The sequence below is a fragment of the Homo sapiens genome, chromosome 7, assembly GCF_000001405.40.
Source record: "Homo sapiens chromosome 7, GRCh38.p14 Primary Assembly".
Classification (NCBI taxonomy): Eukaryota; Metazoa; Chordata; class Mammalia; order Primates; family Hominidae; genus Homo; species Homo sapiens.
This window is the reverse complement of record NC_000007.14, coordinates 20,559,175-20,579,689: the sequence shown is the minus strand read 5'-3', so window position 1 is coordinate 20,579,689 and position 20,515 is coordinate 20,559,175. Positions and strand designations below refer to the sequence as shown.

Below are 20,515 nucleotides of genomic sequence, written 5' to 3'. Positions count from 1 at the left end.
TTGAGGGGATATGTTCAGAGAATAGCCTAACTTTTAGAGAAATTGCAGCCATTTTCTGTTTTGGTGGATACATGAAATATTCAGGAAAGTTATGCTTCTGTTGACTTTGATTGAAAAATAGGTTACAGGGTCTTTTTAGTTTTCTTGGATGATTCATTTTGAAATCTGGCATTAAGACAGCATTAAGAAAATACTGTGGAAAGAGAATCTCACAACATCTAGCCCTAAGGCATTTGAAAATCTTCTCTTTATCCTTTTATGTTAATTTCTTAATTTTTTAAAAAGTCAAGGGCTGATAGTAAATATTCATCCCCCCAAAACAGCATTTGTGAATATTCATCCCCAACAAACAGCATTTGTGAAATATCTCTTATGTATAAGTATGTTCATAGCATGGACTCATGAATAAATTTGTATTTAGGGTTGAACTAAGCCATAGATAATGCAAGTATTTTGGGGGAAGACACCCTTATTAAGGTATGTCACAAGATTTCTTATTGAGAGGCCCATCTCATGCCACCCTCTTCCAATTACCTGAGATTGACACTGTTGCCTTCCTAAAGAAGATACCACCTATTGTTAATGGGTGTAGGAGGTTGCAATGCTCTGTGTGTATGCATGCACGTGCACGCATGCACGCACACACACATACACACGCACTTATTAAGATACCTACAGCAAAGGAAAAAAGGGAAAAAGAAATCACGTGTTATCAAAGACTTAAAGTCATTTCAAGGATGTGTCAAGGTGCTAAGCTTGGCCCAAAATTAACATTTTTTTTTTTGTTTCTTGGAAGGGTGAAAAATTAAGCCATGAGTTTCTATTAGCTGAAGAGCACAACTGGTTTGCAAGACTAGATGACCAATACCAGGTCAGATGAGGGCACTGATGAAAAAGAACACAGAACAGGTAAGTTTATTTATTTATTTATTTTTGGCGAGACCTGGGAGAAGCTGAATGAGAAAGGGTATACATGGCAGCCCAGATTTTACATCTCTGCATGGTGATCGAAGGTTAGAATGAAGGAACAGGAGATTCCAAGAGAGAAGTAGGCAATCACCAACAGGTTTTCTTTGACACTGTGCTGAGCTCTGGCCTGCAGAGAAGGTAGACCTCGACAGGGAGACAAGTGGCACTTGAGTGTGTTTAGCAGGGCTCATTAGAACTATGGAGATCTGGCAGCATCACTGTCACATTCTAATTATTTGCCATGGAGGTGGAAAAAGCATTGCGAAAGAGCAATTTGAACAATAACAAAAATGGAGGAATGCAGATGAACTGAGAGAAAGAGGGCTTTCCATATAAGCCACTGAGAGAACATACTTGAGGAAAAAAGATCTTTTAAGATAGTCACAGGGAGTACTGACAATGTGTTAAGCATTTTTACAAGTTTTTTTTCTCATAAATTCCTTAAGATAACCCTATGAAGTGGATCCTATTATTATCTCCATGTTACAGAGGGAAACACTGAGGCTTAAAGACGTTGAGTAAGTTTCCCAGGATCTCACAGCTAGCAAGTAGCAGAGCTAGGAGTGAAATCTAAGGAAAGGCAAGGCAGTTTAAATTAAATATTCAAAGAGGAAAGTCATATGAAACGGGGATTTTTTTTTAATCAAGTATGGCTCTGGAGGGCAGAACTAATGCGAAGTTAAGGAAAAAAGTAAATTTCACTACATTGTAAGCTTTCTGAATTTTAGAACTAACCCTGGGGGAAGAACTCCTTCATGAAATCATGAGCTGTGTGTACTAGAAACATTCAAGTGCAGCTAAAATGGCCACGTGTCAGAGAAGCTGTAGAGGGATTTCAGATTTGAGTGGGAATGTTAGACCAAGTGACCTTTAAATCCCTGTGGTTTAAAATTACCACGATGTGAGTTAGTTCCTCAACATCTGGATTACATGTATTTTCAGGCCTGAAAAATAAGAGCTCAATCTCAGTTAACTCTGATTTCCCTGGAAGCCAAAACAGAAAGGGAAACTATATTCTGAATTTGATAAAAAGGTAGAAAATTAGTTTATGAGGAATAGCAAACTTTTTCTTTGCTTTCATTTCAGAGGGCAATTGAATACAAAGGTCAGTGTTTATCTGTTAAGCTCCCTCATTAGAGGAAGTATGACATAGCAGGGGCTTTAAGGTGGTTTTAGAATATAAATATTGCCAACTTCATTTGCATTTATATCTCTGTGTCATTGAGCATCACCATCTTTAATTGCCATCCATGGTCTAGTTTTTGACACAGGTCTAGGAATCTAGGAATCTATGGGTCCCATAAAACATTTGTAATCTTTAAAAGCCATGCATTTATCACATATTTATCAATTAATCCAAATCTAATAAAAATAATTATTATTTTTCTTACCACTAAGTATAGTTTTAACAGCAAAGTGATAAAAAGAATTAAAAGCTCTTAACTCAGTTGAGATTTTGATCTCTTTAAAACCCACAGTGGCATAGTAGTCTCCGCAGGTGTAAGACCAAAAATACTTCTTGTCATATTATTACTTGTGAGCTGCTCTCAAAATAGCAGTTTTTTAAAAAATAAGAAACCACTTTCACCCTCTTATAAGAATTGTCTTATTCATACAGTACAGATGTTGGGAAATGAAGACCTATAAAATCAAGGATAGACTAACTTTACAAAACAAAGAAAAGAAAGAATCATATTCAATCCTGCTTGGTTAAGCAAAATACAATAGTGAACATATATCTTATGGGTTATATATCTAAGACCAGGAAGGTTACCTAGTTATTGTAGAAGTAAAGCAAATGGAATACAATGCACATATAAAGACCAGAAACATAATTATAATTCCATTTTTTGGCAATTGAATAGAAAATAAAAAATTTCTTTTTGATAAGATTCCCAAGGAATAGGAATGCTTATAATCAATCAACTTATTGGGAGCAAGACTTACTGATTTAGTTCAACTAGGTGAATTAAAAAGTTATTCTGCATAAAATCCTAAACTTGGTGCTGAAGAAATCATAAAATGAGACACAACCTTTACCTTAAAGAGTTTACCATCGGGCACATATCAGTCAAATGAGCCAGGAACTATAATAAAAGGCAATACATTATGCATATTGTAACTGAGGTATAAACAAAGTACAGTGGATTCAAAGGAGAAATTGCTCACTTCCTATTTGGGGTGGAGAAAAGATAAGGCTTCTTAGGAGAAATGACATTTGAAAAATGGGTGAAATATTTACAGGTTGAAAAAATGGAGGAAGGATGTACCAGGCAGATAGATGATTAAAGCTGTGATGACAGGCAAGTGTGAGTCCTGAGAAAGTTTGCCGGAAGAGTGGAGCAGATGTATGTGAGGAGGTGAGGCATAGGAGCTACTACTGGAGATGCAGGCTGAAGCCAGGTGTGGTGCATCTCCTCACAAGGCTAACGGGTCTGCATTTATTTTCACAGGTGATGAGGGGTCATTTAATGTATGGAGTTGAGGCATGACAGGATCACAGGGCTGCCTGGAGTCTTGTATGCAGATTGTGCACTGCAAAATCTTAGACAGTGTCATTCACCTGGTGACCCTGTTGATACCTATATTTCGTAGGACCGTATTTTAGTCATTATAAGTGTACTATATAATGAGAAGTTTCTTGACACACGGAAGTCAAGTGTCTTGAAGATGGGATGCCTTTCCTGATTTGTACAAATGCACCATGTGGGGCAATGGTAGCTTGTGACAGCTGTGCTCTGGGTAGACACGTCTTAAAACAGAACATAGAACTGATTGCTACAAGGACAGCCTGGAGACTTTGACAATAGTACACAGTAAAACAGGAGCTTCACTTGGAAGGGAGGCTGATAGAGAATCTAGGTGGGAGGCAATGAAAGAAGAACCCATACATGACTTCAGTGATGGGTGACAGATAATGGTGGCCAACAGGAAATAGAAAAGTGAGAAGGGAGATTTATTAAGGCAAGGGAAAGGGAGGCAGGGAGAGGGCAGAGGTGCACACACTTTGGAGCCAGCATTGTTGGCAGAACATCCAGGTGGATGTGTCAAGTGTGAGGCTGAAGTGCTGATCTGGAGGGCAGAGCAGGAGCTGGGCCAGAACCATCCACATAAATGTGTTTGCTGGGTCCCAGGGAATTAATGAGATAATGACAGAGCACAAGAGAGAGGCGAGCAGAGTGTAACTAGTATCAGAAGCAATCCTCGTTCTTATCATATTTTGCTCTCTCACCCCAAAAGAATTAGGAATAAATCTTGTAAAAGGAGCCTGCCTTCTTAGTAATGTGGTTGTTGGATAGCTTGTTTTATTTCCAGTTCCTGCCAACCATCCAATGCAGTCAGAAAGCCAGCTTTTATCCAAAAACATGCCATTTTTTTTCATTATAAGATTAGATAAGAGTGACAGCAGGAGAAGCTTTCTGACCAAAGGCAGAATCGTTGATGACCTGGTAATGTTTCAATGGTGAAATGGAAACACATAAATCAATTATGAATGCAATCAACTCCTCACTCAAGAAAGAAAGCAATGGCAAAAACTACCTAAAAGTATCCTTATTTGATCCTCTGATGCACTATATGTGACTCCATGTTTTCATTTCAGTTTTTCCTAATCTGATACTAAAATTAATTTACATTTCATAAAGCCGTAAAATTAATGATAAGAAAAAAATAGTCAAGAAGTGCATCAGGTGGCAGAGAAGGAATTCTGAGATAAGAATGTCTGCCTTGTGTAAGTCTTACACAGAGAATGAGGGCTTATTCTAGCTGTCCTGAGCTGCTCGTCTCATAGTTTCAGACTGGCTGGAACACTTCCTGGTATCAGTGCGCGCACACTTATCTCGTTATGAAGATCCCAGCAGCCAACAAGGTATCAATGTTCCAAATGTTAGGTAGAAGTTGACTATTAAATAAAACCTATCTCCAACTTGCCTACCCCTTTACTTGCCATTTTAGGCTATTTTAATAGACGTGGGGGGCCAATCTAAGCTGGGAGTCATAAAATATTGGTTCTTCTGGGTCTTCAAGAAAGTTTAAAAAAGAGAGCAACATTTGGGTCAACATCAATATTTCCTTGATGTATCATTTTAAATTCCTACCATGACTATACTTTGTTTACTGCACTTTTCAGAGAAGAAGAAGTGTATTATGTGCCAGTATCTCCAGGATGATGGAGAAGAGTTTGATAGTCTAGTAATCCATTTGAAATTTAACATTCTGATCCCCTCATCTGAATATAACTATTATTGATATTCAATTTGATAGCTGATATTCTCATTGAACTTGAATGGTTTTTAATGTAGTGAGCTATATTTAAAGGATGTCATTGGTGTATCAGAGAGATAATTGTTTATTCAGCACTTTGATCTACAAATAAAAATATGTAATATGTAACTTTTAAAAGAACATTCAGTGTAGATGAATATTTGCAAGATAAATAAAGGCAGAAAAACTTGGGCCTTTACAAAGAGTATTTGCGGTGTACAATTTATGAATTTGATTATACTTTAAAAAGTATAGTTAGAAACATTAAATCTATCTAAACAAAGATGTCCTTAGTATGGGAGACGGTTCTCTCAAATATTATGTAAATTCGAAAATCTTGTTTTCTCCTCCCTTTAGATACTGTTCTAAATTATTATCCCATATTAGTCCATTTTACTGATTAAAAAATGTACCCAATCTCATATTACTGAAAAGCACATATATTAAATACATAGCCCTTCATAGAGAGCTGTGTTTTTTCTCAATACTGTAAATTTTCATTAAAAGAAGCTAAAACAACAAATAAACACACATACTAATACACACTTAAACATACCAATTAGGCCCTTGAATTACGGACAGCTCCTGATCTGTAATTTGTCAGAAATAAAATATGTGTGTATTCAGTTAATACAGCTTATTCAGCTAGTTTGTTGTAAATATTTACTGATGTCAGATGCCAACTGAGAAATTTAATCAGTGCATGCAAGAACATAGTTTTCTTATGAATGTAAATCAGGTAAAAATTCAGAAGGGAAAATGTATGGCTGTTGAAGATCTTACAGAAATGACTTTAAAATGAACCTGGGAAAAAAGAAAACATATCTGGTCCCCAGGGGACAAATTTAATTTCATTTTCATCTAGAATATTTTTTAAACATTATGAAATGTTTGTAACTCTCTTTTATTTTATTTTAAAATACTTAGGGACTTCCCAGTCTAGAGTAAATCTGGAGTCCAGAATATTAAAACTTTTTGAGGAAAAGTTTTGCTTTCAGACTTGCCCCACAGTATTATAAAATCTCTTGGGAATAAACTTCCAGAATTATAAAGATGTTCTTCCAAAGTTTCACTTGGCTTCGACGGCCTGCTTTTTAATTTTTTTTTTCTGCTATTGAATAAAACGTAAAACAGCCCACCAATGAACCAGCCAACCAAATAAAAAAGGCTGGATATCTAGAAAAGTATAATATGTAAAACTGTGAATGTTAATAGTAAATGCCTCAAAAAATATGGTTGGAAGGATAAGTGGATGGTGATGCAAAAACATAAAAGGATTATAGTCTCTTATTTTCTCTGATTGATAGCATGCATAAGTAACTAGGAAAGTCAACTCAACTCAATGTGCGATTGCTGTGGACTGAATTGTTTCCCTCCCAAATTCATATATTGAAGTCCTAACTCCTAGTATGCCTCAGAATATGACTATCTGGAGACAAGAAATTTGAGGTAAAGAAAGTTAGATCAGGCTGTTATGGTGGGATCCTAATCCAATTTGACTGGTGGTCTTATAAAAGAGGGAATTAGGATATACAGAGGCGTAAGAGATGCATGTGTTTAAAGAGATGGTCCTGTGAGGACACGGGGGATGGTGTCCATCTGCAAGCCATGGAGTGAGGATGTAGGAGAACACAAACCAGCTGACACCTTGATCTTGGACTTCTAGCCCCCAGGACTGCCAGAAAATACCAGTCTGTGGTATTTTGCTATGGTAGCCTTGGAAAACTAACACAGTGATAATGAAGTAAGTACTAAGTCTTTGAAGGAAACACATTTTTGAGTCATTTAAATGTCTTATAAGTGTACATATTCTGGCATTTGAACTACAGGCCCCTGTATATATTGGTACTTACTCAACATCTCTCACTTTCTATCACTGTTAACTGTCATTTAACAAATTTACCTATCGAGCTGTCCTTCATCTGCCCACTTCTTTTTTTTGTGATCTTAGCAGTAGTTCTTTTTATTATTATTGTTATTTTTTATTACACTTTAAGTTCTAGGGTACATGTGCATAACGTGCATGTTTGTTACATATGTATACATATGTCATGTTGGTGTGCTGCACCCATTAATTCGTCATTTACATTAGGTATATCTCCTAATGCTATCCCTCCCCACTCCCGCAACCCAACAACAGGCCCCGGTGTGTGATGTTCCCCATCCTGTGTCCAAGTGTTCTCATTGTTCAAGTCCCACCTATGAATGACAACATTCAGTGTTTGGTTTTCTGTCCTTGTGATAGTTTGCCCAGAATGATGGTTTCCAGCTCCATCCATGTCCCTACAAAGGACATGAACTCATCATTTTTTATGGTTGCATAGTATTCCATGGTATATATGTGCCACATTTTCTTAATCCAGTCTATCATTGACGGACATTTGGGTTGGTTCCAAGTCTTTGCTATTGTGAATAGTGCCACGATAAACATATGTGTGCATGTGTCTTCATAGCAGCATGATTTATAATCCTTTGGGTATATACCCAGTAATGGGATGGCTGGGTCAAATGGTATTTCCAGTTCTAGATTCTTGAGGAATCACCACACTGTCTTCCACAATGGTTGAACTAGTTTACAGTCCCACCAACAGTGTAAAAGTGTTCCTATTTCTCCACATCCTCTCCAGCACCTGTTGTTTCCTGACTTTTTAATGATCGCCATTCTAACTGGTGTGAGATGGTATCTCATTGCGGTTTTGATTTGCATTTCTCTGATGGCCAGTGATGATGAGCATTTTTTCATGTGTCTTTTGGCTGCATAAATGTCTTCTTTTGAGAAGTGTCTGTTCATATCCTTTGCCCACTTGTTGATGGGGTTGTTTGATTTTTTCTTGTAAATTTGTTTAAGTTCTTTGTAGATTCTGAATCCTAGCCCTTTGTCAGATGGGTAGATTGTAAAAATTTTCTCCTGTTCTCTAGGTTGTCTGTTCACTCTGATGGTAGTTTCTTTTGCTGTGCAGAAGCTCTTTAGTTTAATTAGATCCCATTTGTCAATTTTGGCTTTTGTTGCCATTGCTTTTGGTGTTTTAGACATGAAGTCGTTGCCCATGCCTATGTCCTGAATGGTATTGCCTAGGTTTTCTTCTAGGGTTTTTATGGTTTTAGGTCTAACATTTCAATCTTTAATCCATCTTGAATTAATTTTTGTATAAGGTGTAAGGAAGGATCCAGTTTCAGCTTTCAACATAAGGCTAGCCATTTTTCCCAACACCATTTATTAAATAGGGAATCCTTCCCCCATTTCTTGTTTTTGTCAGGTTTGTCAAAGATCAGATGGTTGTAGATGTGTGGTATTATTTCTGAGGTCTCTGTTCTGTTCCATTAGTCTATACCTCTGTTTTGGTACCAGTACCATGCTGTTTTGGTTACTGTAGCCTTGTAGTATAGTTTGAAGTCAGGTAGCATGATGCCTCCAGCTTTGTTCTTTTGGCTTAGGATTGACTTGGCAATGCGGGCTCTTTTTTGGTTCCATATGAATTTTAAAGTAGTTTTTTTCCAATTCTGTGAAGAAAGTCATTGGTAGCTTGATGGGGATGGCATTGAATCTATAAATTACCTTGGGCAGTATGGCCATTTTCACGATACTGATTCTTCCTATTCATGAGCATGGAATAGTCTTCCATTTGTTTGTGTCCTCTTTTATTTCGTTGAGCAGTGGTTTGTAGTTCTCCTTGAAGAGGTCCTTCACATCCTTTGTACGTTAGATTCCTAGGTATTTTATTCTCTTTGAAGCAATTGTGAATGGGAGTTCACTCATGATTTGGATCTCTGTTTGTCTGTTATTGGTGTGTAGGAATGCTTGTGATTTTTGCACATTGATTTTGTATCCTGAGACTTTGCTGAAGTTGCTTATCAGCTTAAGGAGATTTTGGGCTGAGACAATGGGGTTTTCTAAATATACAATCATGTCATCTGCAAACAGGGAAAATTGGACTTCCTCTTTTCCTAATTGAATACCCTTTATTTCTTTGTCTTGCCTGATTGCCCTGGCCAGAACTTCCAACACTATGTTGAATAGGAGTGGTGAGAGAGGGCATCCCTGTATTATGCCAGTTTTCAAAGGGAATGTTTCCAGTTTTTGCCCATTCCGTATGATATTGGCTGTGGGTTTGTCATAAATAGCTCTTATTATTTTGAGATATGTCACATCATACCTAGTTTATTGAGAGTTTTTAGCATGAAGGTTGTTGAATTTTGTCAAAGGCCTTTTCTGCATCTATTGAGATAATCATGTGGTTTTTGTCTTTGGTTCTGTTTATATGATGGATTACGTTTATTGATTTGCATATATTGAACCAGCCTTGCATCCCAGGGATGATGCCAACATGATCATGGTGGATAAGCTTTTTGATGTGCTGCTGGATTCGGTTTGCCAGTATTTTACTGAGGATTTTTGCATTGATGTTCATCAAGGATATTGATCTAAAATTCTCTTTTTTTTTGTTATGTCTCTTCCAGGCTTTGGTATCAGGATGATGCTGGCCTCATAAAATGAGTTAGGGAGGATTCCCTCTTTTTCTATTGATTGGAATAGTTTCAGAAGGAAGGGTACCAGCTCCTCTTTGTACCTCTGGTAGAATTCAGCGGTGAATCCTTCTGGTCCTGGACTGTTTTTGGTTGATAGGGTATTAATTATGGATTCAATTTCTGAGCCTGTTATTGGTTTATTCAGGGATTCAACTTCTTCCTGGTTTGGTCTTGTGAGGGTGTATGTGTCCAGGAATTTATCCATTTCTTCTAGATTTTCTAGTTTATTTGCGTAGAGGTGTTTATAATATTCTCTGATGGTAGTTTGTTTGTCTGTGGGATCGGTGGTGATACGCCCTGTATCATTTTTTTGTTGCATCTATTTGATTCTTCTTTCTTTTCTTCTTTATTAGTCTTGCTAGCGGCCTATCAATTTTGTTGATCTTTTCAAAAAACCAGCTCCTGGATTCATTGATTTTGTGAAGGGTTTTTTGTGTCTCTATTTCCTTCAGTACTGCTCTGATCTTAGTTACTTCTTCTAAGCTTTTGAATGTGTTTGCTCTTGCTTCTCTAGTTCTTTTAATTGTGATGTTAGGGTGTCAATTTTAGATCTTTCCTGCTTTCTCTTGTGGGCATTTAGTGCTATAAATTTGCCTCTAAACACTGCTTTCAATGTGTCCCAGAGATTCTGGTATGTTGTGTCTTTGTTCTCGTTGGTTTCAAAGAACATCTTTATTTCTGCCTTCATTTTGTTATGTACCCAGTAGTCATCCAGGAGCAGGTTGTTCAGTTTCCATGTAGTTGAGTGGTTTTGAGTGAGTTTCTTAATCCTGAGTTCTAGTTTGATTGCACTGTGGTCTGAGAGACAGTTTGTTATAATTTCTGTTCCTTTACATTTGCTGAGGAATGCTTTACTTCCAACTATGTGGTCAATTTTGAAGTAAGTGCAATGTGGTGCTGAGAAGAATGTATATTCTGTTGATTTGGGGTGGAGAGTTCTGCAGATGTCTATTAGGTCTGCTTGATGCAGAGCTGAGTTCAATTCCTGGATATGCTTGTTAACTTTCTGTCTCGTTGATCTGTCTAATGTTGACAGTGGGGTGTTAAAATTTTCCATTATTATTGTGTGGGAGTCTAAGTTCTCTTTGTAGGTCTCTAAGGACTTGCTTCATGAATCTGGGTGCTCTCGTATTGGGTGCATATATATATATATAGGATACTTAGCTCTTCTTGTTGAATTGATCCCTTTACCATTATGTAATGGCCTTCTTTGTCTCATTTGATCTTTGTTGGCTTAAAGTCTGTTTTATCAGAGACTATGATCGCAACCCCTGCTTTTTTTGTTTTCCATTGGCTTGGTAGATGTTCCTCCATCCGTTTATTTTGAGCCTATGTGTGTCTCTGCACATAGATGGATCTCCTGAATACAGCACACTGATGGGTCTTGACTCTTTATGCAATTTGCCAGTCTGTGTCTTTTAATTGGAGCATTTATCCCATTTACATTTAAGGTTAATATTGTTATGTGTGAATTTGATCCTGTTGTTATGATGTTAGCTGGTTATTTTGCTCGTTAGTTGATGCAGTTTCTTCCTAGCATCGATGGTCTTTACAATGTAGCATGTTTATGCAGTGGCTGGTACTGGTTGTTCCTTTCCATGTTTAGTGCTTCCCTCAGGAGCTCTTGTAAGGCAGGCCTGGTGGTGACAAAATCTCTCAGCATTTGCTTGTCTGTAAAGGATTTTATTTCTCCTTCGCTTATGAAGCATAGTTTGGCTGGATATGAAATTCTGGGTTGAAAATTCTTTTCTTTAAGAATGTTGAATATTGGCCCCCACTCTCTTCTGGCTTGTAGAGTTTCTGCCGAGAGATCCGCTGTTAGTCTGATAGGCTTCCCTTTGTGGGTAACTCGACCTTTCTCTCTGGCTGCCCTTAACATTTTTTCCTTCATTTCAACTTTGGTGAATCTGACAATTATGTGTCTTGGAGTTGTTCTTCTCGAGGAGTATCTTTGTGGCATTCTCCGTATTTCCCGAATTTGAATGTTAGCCTGCCTTGCTAGGCTGGGGAAGTTCTCCTGGATAATATCCTGAAGTGTGTTTTCCAACTTGGTTGCATTCTCCCTGTCACTTTCAGGTACACCAATCAGAAGTAGATTTGGTCTTTTCACATAGTCCCATGTTTCTTGGAGGCTTTGTTCGTTTCTTTTTACTCTTTTTTCTCTAAACTTCTCTTCTCGCTTCATTTCATTGATTTGTTCTTCAGTCTTCCACTTGATCGAATCGGCTACTGAAGCTTATGCATACATCACATAGTTCTCGTGCCATGGTTTTCAGCTTCATCAGGTCATTTATGGTCTTCTCTACACTGTTTATTCTAGTTAGCCATTCATCTAATCTTTTTTCAAGGTTTTTAGCTTCTTTGCGATGCATCTGCCCACTTCTTTTATTCCACCTGGACTGCTTGTTGTTCCTTTCATTCTCCTTTCAGTGTATGTTGCAGGAAAACATCTATGAACATTGTATTTGAATTCTGTCTCCATGTAAAAAAAAGAAAAGACATAACATAAAATGTAGTATCTTTACCGTTTTTAAGCATTCTGATCAGTTATATTAAGCAACTGCATATTGTACTGGTTCTCCAGAATTTTTCCGTCTTGCAAAACTGAAACTCTATCCTCATTAAAAAACAGCTCCTCTTTTCTTCCCCCTTCTCTCCAAACTCTTGGCAAACACCGTTCTAGTTTCTGTGTCTATGAATTTGACTAACTTAGATTCTTCATGTGAGTGAATTCAGATAGCATTTGTCTTTTTGGGACTGGCTTATTTCACTTAGAATAATGTCGTCAAGGTTCGTGCATGGTGCAGCATTGTGACAGAATTTTTCTCCTTTTTAAGGTTAAATAATATCCCATTATCCATATATACCACATTATCTGTATCTAACCTTTTATCCATAGATGGACATTTGAGTTGATTTCATCTCTTGGCTATGGTGAATAATTCTGCTCTGAGCACCAGTATGTGAATATTTCTATGAAATTCTGCTTTCAATTCTTTTGGATGTATACCCAGAAGTAGAATTGCTAGGTCATATAATAATTCAATTTTTAATTTTTTAAGGAACTGCTATAGTTTCATACAGTGACTGCACCATTTTACATTCCTGTACACAGTACATAAGGGTTCCAGTTTCTCTACATCCTAGCCAACACTTGTTATTTTGTTACTTTTTTATGGTAACCATTCTAATGGGAGTGAGGTGATATCTCATAGTGGTTTTGATGTGCATTTCTCTAATGATTAGTGATATCAAACATCTTTTCATATGCTTGTTGCCCATCTGTATATCATCTTTGGAGAAATGCGTATTCAAGTTCTTTGTTCATTTTAAAATCAAGTTATTTGTTTTTTGTTGTTGGTGGTGTTGCTGAGTTATTTTGTTGTCTTTATCCTTCCTGGATAATAATAACTCCTTATCAGATACATGATTTGCAGATACTTTCTTCCATTCCTATGTTGTCTTTTCACTGTGTTGACTGTGCCCTTTGATGCACAGAAATTGTACTCCCATTTGTCTATTTTTACTTTTGCTGCCTGTCCTTTTGGCATCATATCCAAGAAATCATTGCCAAATCCAACCTCATGAAGCTTTTCTCCTGTGTTCTTTTCTAGTAGTTTTATAGTTTTAGGTCTTACTTTTGGGTCTTTAATTCATTTTGAGCTAATTTTTGTATATGGTACAACGTAAGGGTCTAACTTTATTTTTTTGGTATGTTTATATCTACTTTTCCCATCACCATTTGTTGAATAGACTATTTTTTCCCTATTGAGTGGTCTTGTCACCTTTGTCAAAAATCATCTGACTATATATGCAATGGTTCATTTCTGGAATTTCTATTCTATTGTTCTATATTTCTGTCTTTATGCCAGTACCACACCGCTTTGTGTGTACTGCAGCTTTTACATATGTTTGAAATTAAGAAGTGTGAGACTTCCAACTTTGTTCTTTCTCAAGATGGATTTGGACATTCAATGTCTTTGGTAGTTTCTTCTGAATTTTAGAATTTTTTTTCTATTTCTATAAAAATACCTTTGGGTTTTGATGGGGTTGCATTGAATCTGTAGATCTCTTTGGGTAGTATTTACATCTTCACAATATTAAGTCCTCCAAACCATGAACATGTCATAAACTATGAACAATGGAAAGACACTCCAAATGTCTTTCCATTTGTATGTGTCTTTAATTTTTTAAATCAATGTTTTGTAATTTCCAGAGTAGAAGTCTTTCACCTCCTTATTTTATTCTTAAGTATTGCATTCTTTTGGCATGATTGTAAATGGAATTGTTTTCTTAGTTTTCTTTTTGAATTGTTTATTGTTAGCATGTAGTTTACCTGTTGATTTGATATCCTGTAACTTTGCTGAATTCTTTTATTAGTTCCAACAGTTTTTATTAATATAATCTTTAGAGTTTTCTACATATAAGATCATCTCATCTGAGAATGGAGATACTTCCACTTCTTCATTTCTAATTTGGAAGTCTTTTATTTCGTTTTCTTACCTAATTGCCCTGGATAGGAATTCCAATGCTATGTTGCATAAAAATGATGAGAGCAGGCCACCTCGTCTTGTTCAGGATCTTAGAGAAAAAGATTTGGGTTTTTCTTCACTAATTAGGATGTTAGCTGTGGGCTTTTCGTTTATGGTCTTTGTTATGTTGAGGTAGTTTCCTTTTGTTCTTGGTTTGTTGAGAGTTTTGTTTTTTTAAATCATGAATTGGTGTTGAATTTTGTGACATGCTTTCTCTGCATCACTTGAGATGATAATGTGCTTTGCATCCTTGATTAATGCGGTATATTACATTGGTTGATTTTCGTATGTTGAAATCTGGGAATACATTCCACTTAGTTGTGGCATATAATCCTTTTAATGTTCTGTTGAATTTAATTTGCTAGCACAGTAGTCCCTTGGTATATATGGGAGACTGTTTCCAGAAATTCTGTAGACACCAAAAATTTGCAGATACTCAAATGCCTTAAATAAAATGCTGTATAGTGTTTGCATATGATCTATGCATATCCTCCCATATAATTTAAATCATCTCTATATTATTTACAATACCTAATTCAATGCCTGAACATCATTTCATTCGTGTGAATTCAGTGTAGTACCCAGCATGTGGCAAATACAAGTTTAGTTCTTTTGGAAATCTGCGGAATATTTCTTTTCTGAATATTTTCAACCCATGGTTTGTTGAATCCGTAGGTGTGGAATCCATGGATAAGGTGAGCTGACTGTATTTTGTTGAGCATTTTTGCATTAATATGCAACAGAAATATTGGTTTACAGTTTTCTGTTCTTGTAGTGTGTTTTTCTGGCTTTTGTATCAGAGTAATAGTAGCCTCATAGAATGAGTTTGGGCATATCCCTTCTTTACTTTTTTTTTTTGGAAGAGTTTGAAATGGATTATTGCTAATTATTCTTTAAATGTTTGGTAGAATTCTCTGGTGCAGCCATGGGGTCTTGAGCTTTTCTTTATTAGGAAGCTTTTGATTATTCATCCAGCCTCCTTACTACTTATATGTCTGTTCAGATTTTCTATTTCTTTATGCTTCAGTCATCATAGGGTGTGTATTTCTAGGAACTTATCCATGTCTTCTAAGTTATCCAGTTTGTTGGTATTAATTTGTTTATGCTATTCTCTTATAATCCTTTCTATTTCTGTGACATTGCTTTTACTATCCCTTCTTTCATTTCTGATTTTAGTAGAGTCTTCTCTCTCTCTCCGTCTCTCTCTCTCTCTTTCTCTCTCTCTCTGTCTCTTTCTTTCTGTCTCTCTTCTTAATCTTAATCTGGCTAAGGACTTGTCAATTTTGTTGATTTTTTAAAAATCCACTTTTTAATAGTTGTGAGAACATGTGACTTGAACTCTTAGAGTTTTCCTGTCTTCTTCTATACAAAGGGCATGCCGTGTACTGTGCCAGATAGCTGTGCCCTACTTACATGATTACATTTAACCATTTGCTGTGCTTAATAAATAGTAGTTAATGTTATTTTTAATTATGTAAGAAAAATTTCTCCCATGTGGATCACAAATTCCTTTTTCATGATTTTTCAAAGGAATCACAAACTGTAAGCATCACACTCATTATCAGTATTCAGTTCTTAGAAAATTTTTACCTTCTACTGTTTTGTCTCTTACTGTTTTTATATAATTTTGCTCCTGGTTTTATGGCTCTTTTGTGGGCATGGTTAACTCAGTAAGAACAGATTACTTTCATAAGCCTTTCCTTATTGATTTCCTAGTAGATGGATACCTTACTGGTAGACTTTTCTCTTAAGTGTTTTTCTGACTGTACTTTCTATTAAGTGGAATCATTCCATGGTCATTCCATACATTATGGGACACTGTTTTTGTATAACCGTCCTGTAAATCTAAAGAACTTGAGTAAAGCAAAAGTTTACTCATTCCTTGTGTACCTGGTTTAGCGGATGTGGTTTCAATTTAATTTTTAGGATGAAATAAATATAGCTTTTTTTTCTGGCCTTCTTTTTATGTGTATTGGTAGGAAGGCTCTTGTTTGATTTACAACTTGATTAAGCATAGCTGAGTTTTAATTTTGACCTGATTAAGTGATCTATAAACAATCATAGGCATAGACAATACACATTAAAATTTTTCTCATTAAATCTCAACCCCAAAGTAGTGTCGGCTTTGATTCTCTTGGTGGAAAACTATGTATAATGAATTTTACTGGCATTGTTGTTAACCTCTAATTGTTCTGTGAATCATGGGAAAGTAAAACATTTATCCTTGGAGGGAGAAAAATGATATCTGGGCATAGAGAGAGAAAAGATAATATTATTGAATGTTAAACATAGTTGTATAAGTTAATCACAAAACTTAATAAATTCAGCATCTTCTTTCTTGGATCTTATTTTCTAGTTTAAAGTTATTCAAGGGTAATATTGCAGACCCTTGATTTAGAATTGTAGCCATCAGCTTCTGCTGTCAACAAACAACCCCTAAATTTCAGAGGCTTACAATAAACATTACAATTTTATTACTTTTCTATGTTTATTACAATAAACAATAAACGTTAATTTCTTGCTCATGTTACCAGAAGGCTGTGGATTGACTGTACTTTTGTTGGTCTCACTGGGCTTCACATGTCGTCTAATTCCTGGGCCTTGGATGATGAATACCCACTAGCTGGGGCATGCTTGTCTCATCATGAAGAGAGGTCAACAAAAGCACGTAAGACACTCACATTCCACTGTCCAAAGTGGGTCACAAGGCCAAGCCCCAATCAATGGGGCAAGGAAGTAAATTCTGCCTCCAGGAAAGCACAGCAAGGTTTGGGCAGGAATGAATAATCATGAGCAATAATTCAACCTACTGCAAGAACCGATTGTGCCCTTTCATTTATACATATATCTTATTCGTTCTGTCCCTCCAGAGAACTCTGACTAATACACACTATCTTGGAAACACTGTGGAGCTTTTCTGTGAAATCTCATAAAAATCTCAGCACGATAATTCATACTAGACATAAATCATTTCTAAGTCAGAGAATTTTAGAATATTATATTTTGAGGCCTCAAATAGATTAAAAGAGTTCATTAAATATATTAAAAATCTGTTAAAGATTAAAGGATCTATTATATTGAAAGAATATTATATTTTGAGTACTCAGAGTAAAAAGGTTGAATTGGGGTTTGGGGTCCCAAAGTCCTGCCTGCTGACTGCTTCCTGTCCACCTTCCTGCTCTCCACTTCTTACCACATTTTCTGGCAATCCCTAAAAGGATTCCACAGAGCATAGTTTGAAAATCACCAGTACAGCACTCTCAATGAAGGCTCCACAGAGGGTAAGGGGTGTTAGGTTACAAAAACATGTAAAACATTTTGTGTGGGTTGAACAAAGTTAAGCAGAACTGCAGGAATTCTCAGAAACTTTACTATGTTAATAATGTTCCTTGTGAACCTCCAAGAAGGGGATGTATATCTCAGAATTGCTCAAAATTTTAATGAAACAGTTTAGTGCTTTGAAACACATCTAAGAAAAACCTGCATTAGACAGTGCTTTTTTATTTATAAAATTATATTTAGGGCAGAGGCTCAAGATAGGACAGTTGGCTGAGTTTTTCTCATTTAGTTAGTTAGAAAGACCAGATCAAAATTCAGGTCTTCCGTCCCTCCTCCAGGAGTCTTTGGCCATGTTGTTGAGTTTGTTTCCATGACCTGGACATACTTTGGCAATGACGTAGTCATTCATGGGGTATTTTAACCTTTGAGAACAATAGTCCTGGTCAATGCCTCTGTTAGGATTCAATATGAAGGAAATTGAGTGACCATGAGTAACTAGTTTCACAAACAAAGTGAATGAAGGATTGATTGTATGATCTGAAGCAACTGTTGGAACAAACAGCAACATTAGAAAATACTCAGGAAATTTTTTTTCTCTTCAATGACTTTAAGGCTTCATTCATGAAAGCGATAATGGATGTCGAAATCTGTAATTTTCCACAGTACACAAACTCTGCCTTTTACTTTTCTTTTTTTCACAAGTAAATGATTTCTGTAATCTGTTTAATTTATGTCGTAGGTTACTACTTAAAACGTTTTCTAAGAGTGATGATATATCACTTAGGAGATAAATTTGGGCCCAGTTCTTGCCTAGGACTTCATAGCTGCTACACATTCAAAGGGGAATTAACTACTAATTAAAATATTCATCAATTTTCTGTGTCTCAGGAAAATTCATGGCATCAGTTGGTGGTGGGGGATAAAGTGGAGAAGAGTCTTACTCTTAAATAATTATCTGTGACATGGAAATCCAAAATTTTAAGTGGATTAACATCTTGAAAATGTATTAGTAAATGGAAAATATTCAAAAGAGTAAGAATAGAAGATGAAAGAAGTTGTTTGAAAGAAGTTGTTTCATGTCTGAAAGTATCTGTGAAATACATAAAAAAAAGAGAAAAGAACAGCAAAATGGGTCACAAGAAAGATGAATGCTTTAAAATTTAACTTAGATTGTTTCATAAATATTGAGTAAGTGCAATTTCAGATTTTTCTCCATTGTGCTTGAGGAGTAAGTGTCGGCACCCGCGGCCCATCTGAAATGGCTGCTGCAAAGACACTGTCTGCAGCTGGGGAGGTGGGGCCAGGGCTACGCAGGGCTACACGCTCCGTGGAGCCAGCGGGAGCCAGGAACAGGCAGAAGCCCCACCCCTTCCTAGTTGGAGCGGCGGGAGCCCCTCCCTCCCCGGCGCGGCTGCTGCCACTCAGCTGTGGCTGCGAACCTGGTATTCCTGTGCTCTTGGGGGCCTGGGAAGGCCCCCTGCCCCTGCAAGCTTGGAAATGCCTGCTTCCCCTGCCTGGCTTCTCCCCTTTCTGATTTCAGAGCAAAGTTGAGGCTGAGTGCTGGTGCTGTCATGACTTGGCCGGGTGTGCGCATGCTAGGGGCAGCACTGACATGCCAGTCTCTTGCTTCCTCGGCCCCTTCTGGACTTTGGGTGCAAATGAGCACAAGAGGGAGGCCAGGGGGGACTGAGGGTGGCTTGGTGTGGACCTGCAGGCACCTTGTCACAAACAGCCTGGGTGCTGGTGGCCATAGGTTGAGGGTGGGAGGCAGACAGGCTCCTGGGCAGAAAGGGTCAGGTGCCTGGTGAAGCCCCACCTTCGGGCCTGGGATGGCCCGAAGTCTCAGGGCTGGGCTGCCAGTTCTGCCCACCGAAGTGAGAACTTAAGGTGCTTTTTCCAAGCCTGCCCATGACTACTCATAAACCAATCAGCACACCCTTCCTTCCACCTGAAACCCATAGAATCACCCAGATTCAGCCAGACTTGAGTAGAGCAGATGTCCAGGATGACCTGCCTGTAGAGAGGAGCTACCCGTTGTGGGTCTCCTCTCAGCTGAGGGCTGAGCAAGACATCAGGACAGACTGCCTGTAGAGTGGAGCTACACACTGTGGGTCTCCTCTCAGCTGAGGCCTGAGCAGATTTTGGGACTACCTGCCTGCGGATAAGAGCTACCCGCTTTAGGTCTCCTGAGAGCTGTACTGTCGCTCAATAAACCACCTCCTCACCTTATTCACCCTCCAGTTGTCTGCATACCTCATTCTTCCTGGGCATGGGAGAAGAAGTTGGGATCCGTGGGATGGTGGGACTAAAAGAGCTGTAACACAAACAGGGCTGAAACAGGCCCCTTGCCCACCGCCTTGCAGTGACAAGAAGGAGAGAAGAGAGAAGGAGAGGAGCTGTGGCCCTTCAGGGAGCTCAGATCTAGGAGCTCCCCGAGCCAGGGCTGTGACACCCTCTTTGGGACTCTGCGGTTCCTATAGTCTCCAAGCTTCTGGGCGCCACCACGTTCCCCATTGCCAGCAGCGGGAGCTGCTTGCAGTATGCTTGGTCCAGCCGCAGCTTCACAGGGAGCCGACACCTGTGTTGGCGCCTACAGCTGCGTGTCCCTCGGCAGCCAGTGTGCCTGGCTGTGCACAGTGGCCGGACCCCACGTTTGCTCACCCACACACCCCTCGCCACTCTGCATGTGGCTCACCTTTAGCAGGCATGGGATCCGGGCTGGTAGCATGAGGTGAGCGCAGGCTGCCGGGCAGAGTGGGCAGAATGAGCCCAGCAGGCTCAAGCAAAACTCGGGCAAGGACACCACCGGTTACAGAGCTTTTCCCGCTGGAAAAGAAACACCCTAAGAATCCTGTGACATAAGCATCCGATTACTTTTCTTCTTTATTTATAACTGAAAGAGGCAAGTGCAGTGTTTACAGTTTTATGAGTAGTTGCCGTAGGCA

General features: G+C 38.0%; 4 annotated features.

Annotated features, from left to right (window-relative positions):
• Positions 18,790–19,084: an enhancer, noted in NCBI's record as "tiled region #1382; HepG2 Activating DNase unmatched - State 4:PromP, and K562 Activating DNase unmatched - State 4:PromP". NCBI's record gives its function as "activates a minimal TATA promoter and a strong SV40 promoter by Sharpr-MPRA in HepG2 and K562 cells {active_cell/tissue: HepG2 | K562}" and the evidence as "EXISTENCE:reporter gene assay evidence [ECO:0000049][PMID:27701403]".
• Positions 18,790–19,487: a biological region, named in NCBI's record as "Sharpr-MPRA regulatory region 1382".
• Positions 18,987–19,487: an enhancer, noted in NCBI's record as "H3K4me1 hESC enhancer chr7:20599826-20600326 (GRCh37/hg19 assembly coordinates)". NCBI's record gives its function as "activates a minimal SCP1, AML or CMV promoter by ChIP-STARR-seq in primed H9 embryonic stem cells {active_cell/tissue: H9 hESC(primed)}" and the evidence as "EXISTENCE:reporter gene assay evidence [ECO:0000049][PMID:30033119]".
• Positions 19,708–20,208: an enhancer, noted in NCBI's record as "H3K4me1 hESC enhancer chr7:20599105-20599605 (GRCh37/hg19 assembly coordinates)". NCBI's record gives its function as "activates a minimal SCP1, AML or CMV promoter by ChIP-STARR-seq in primed H9 embryonic stem cells {active_cell/tissue: H9 hESC(primed)}" and the evidence as "EXISTENCE:reporter gene assay evidence [ECO:0000049][PMID:30033119]".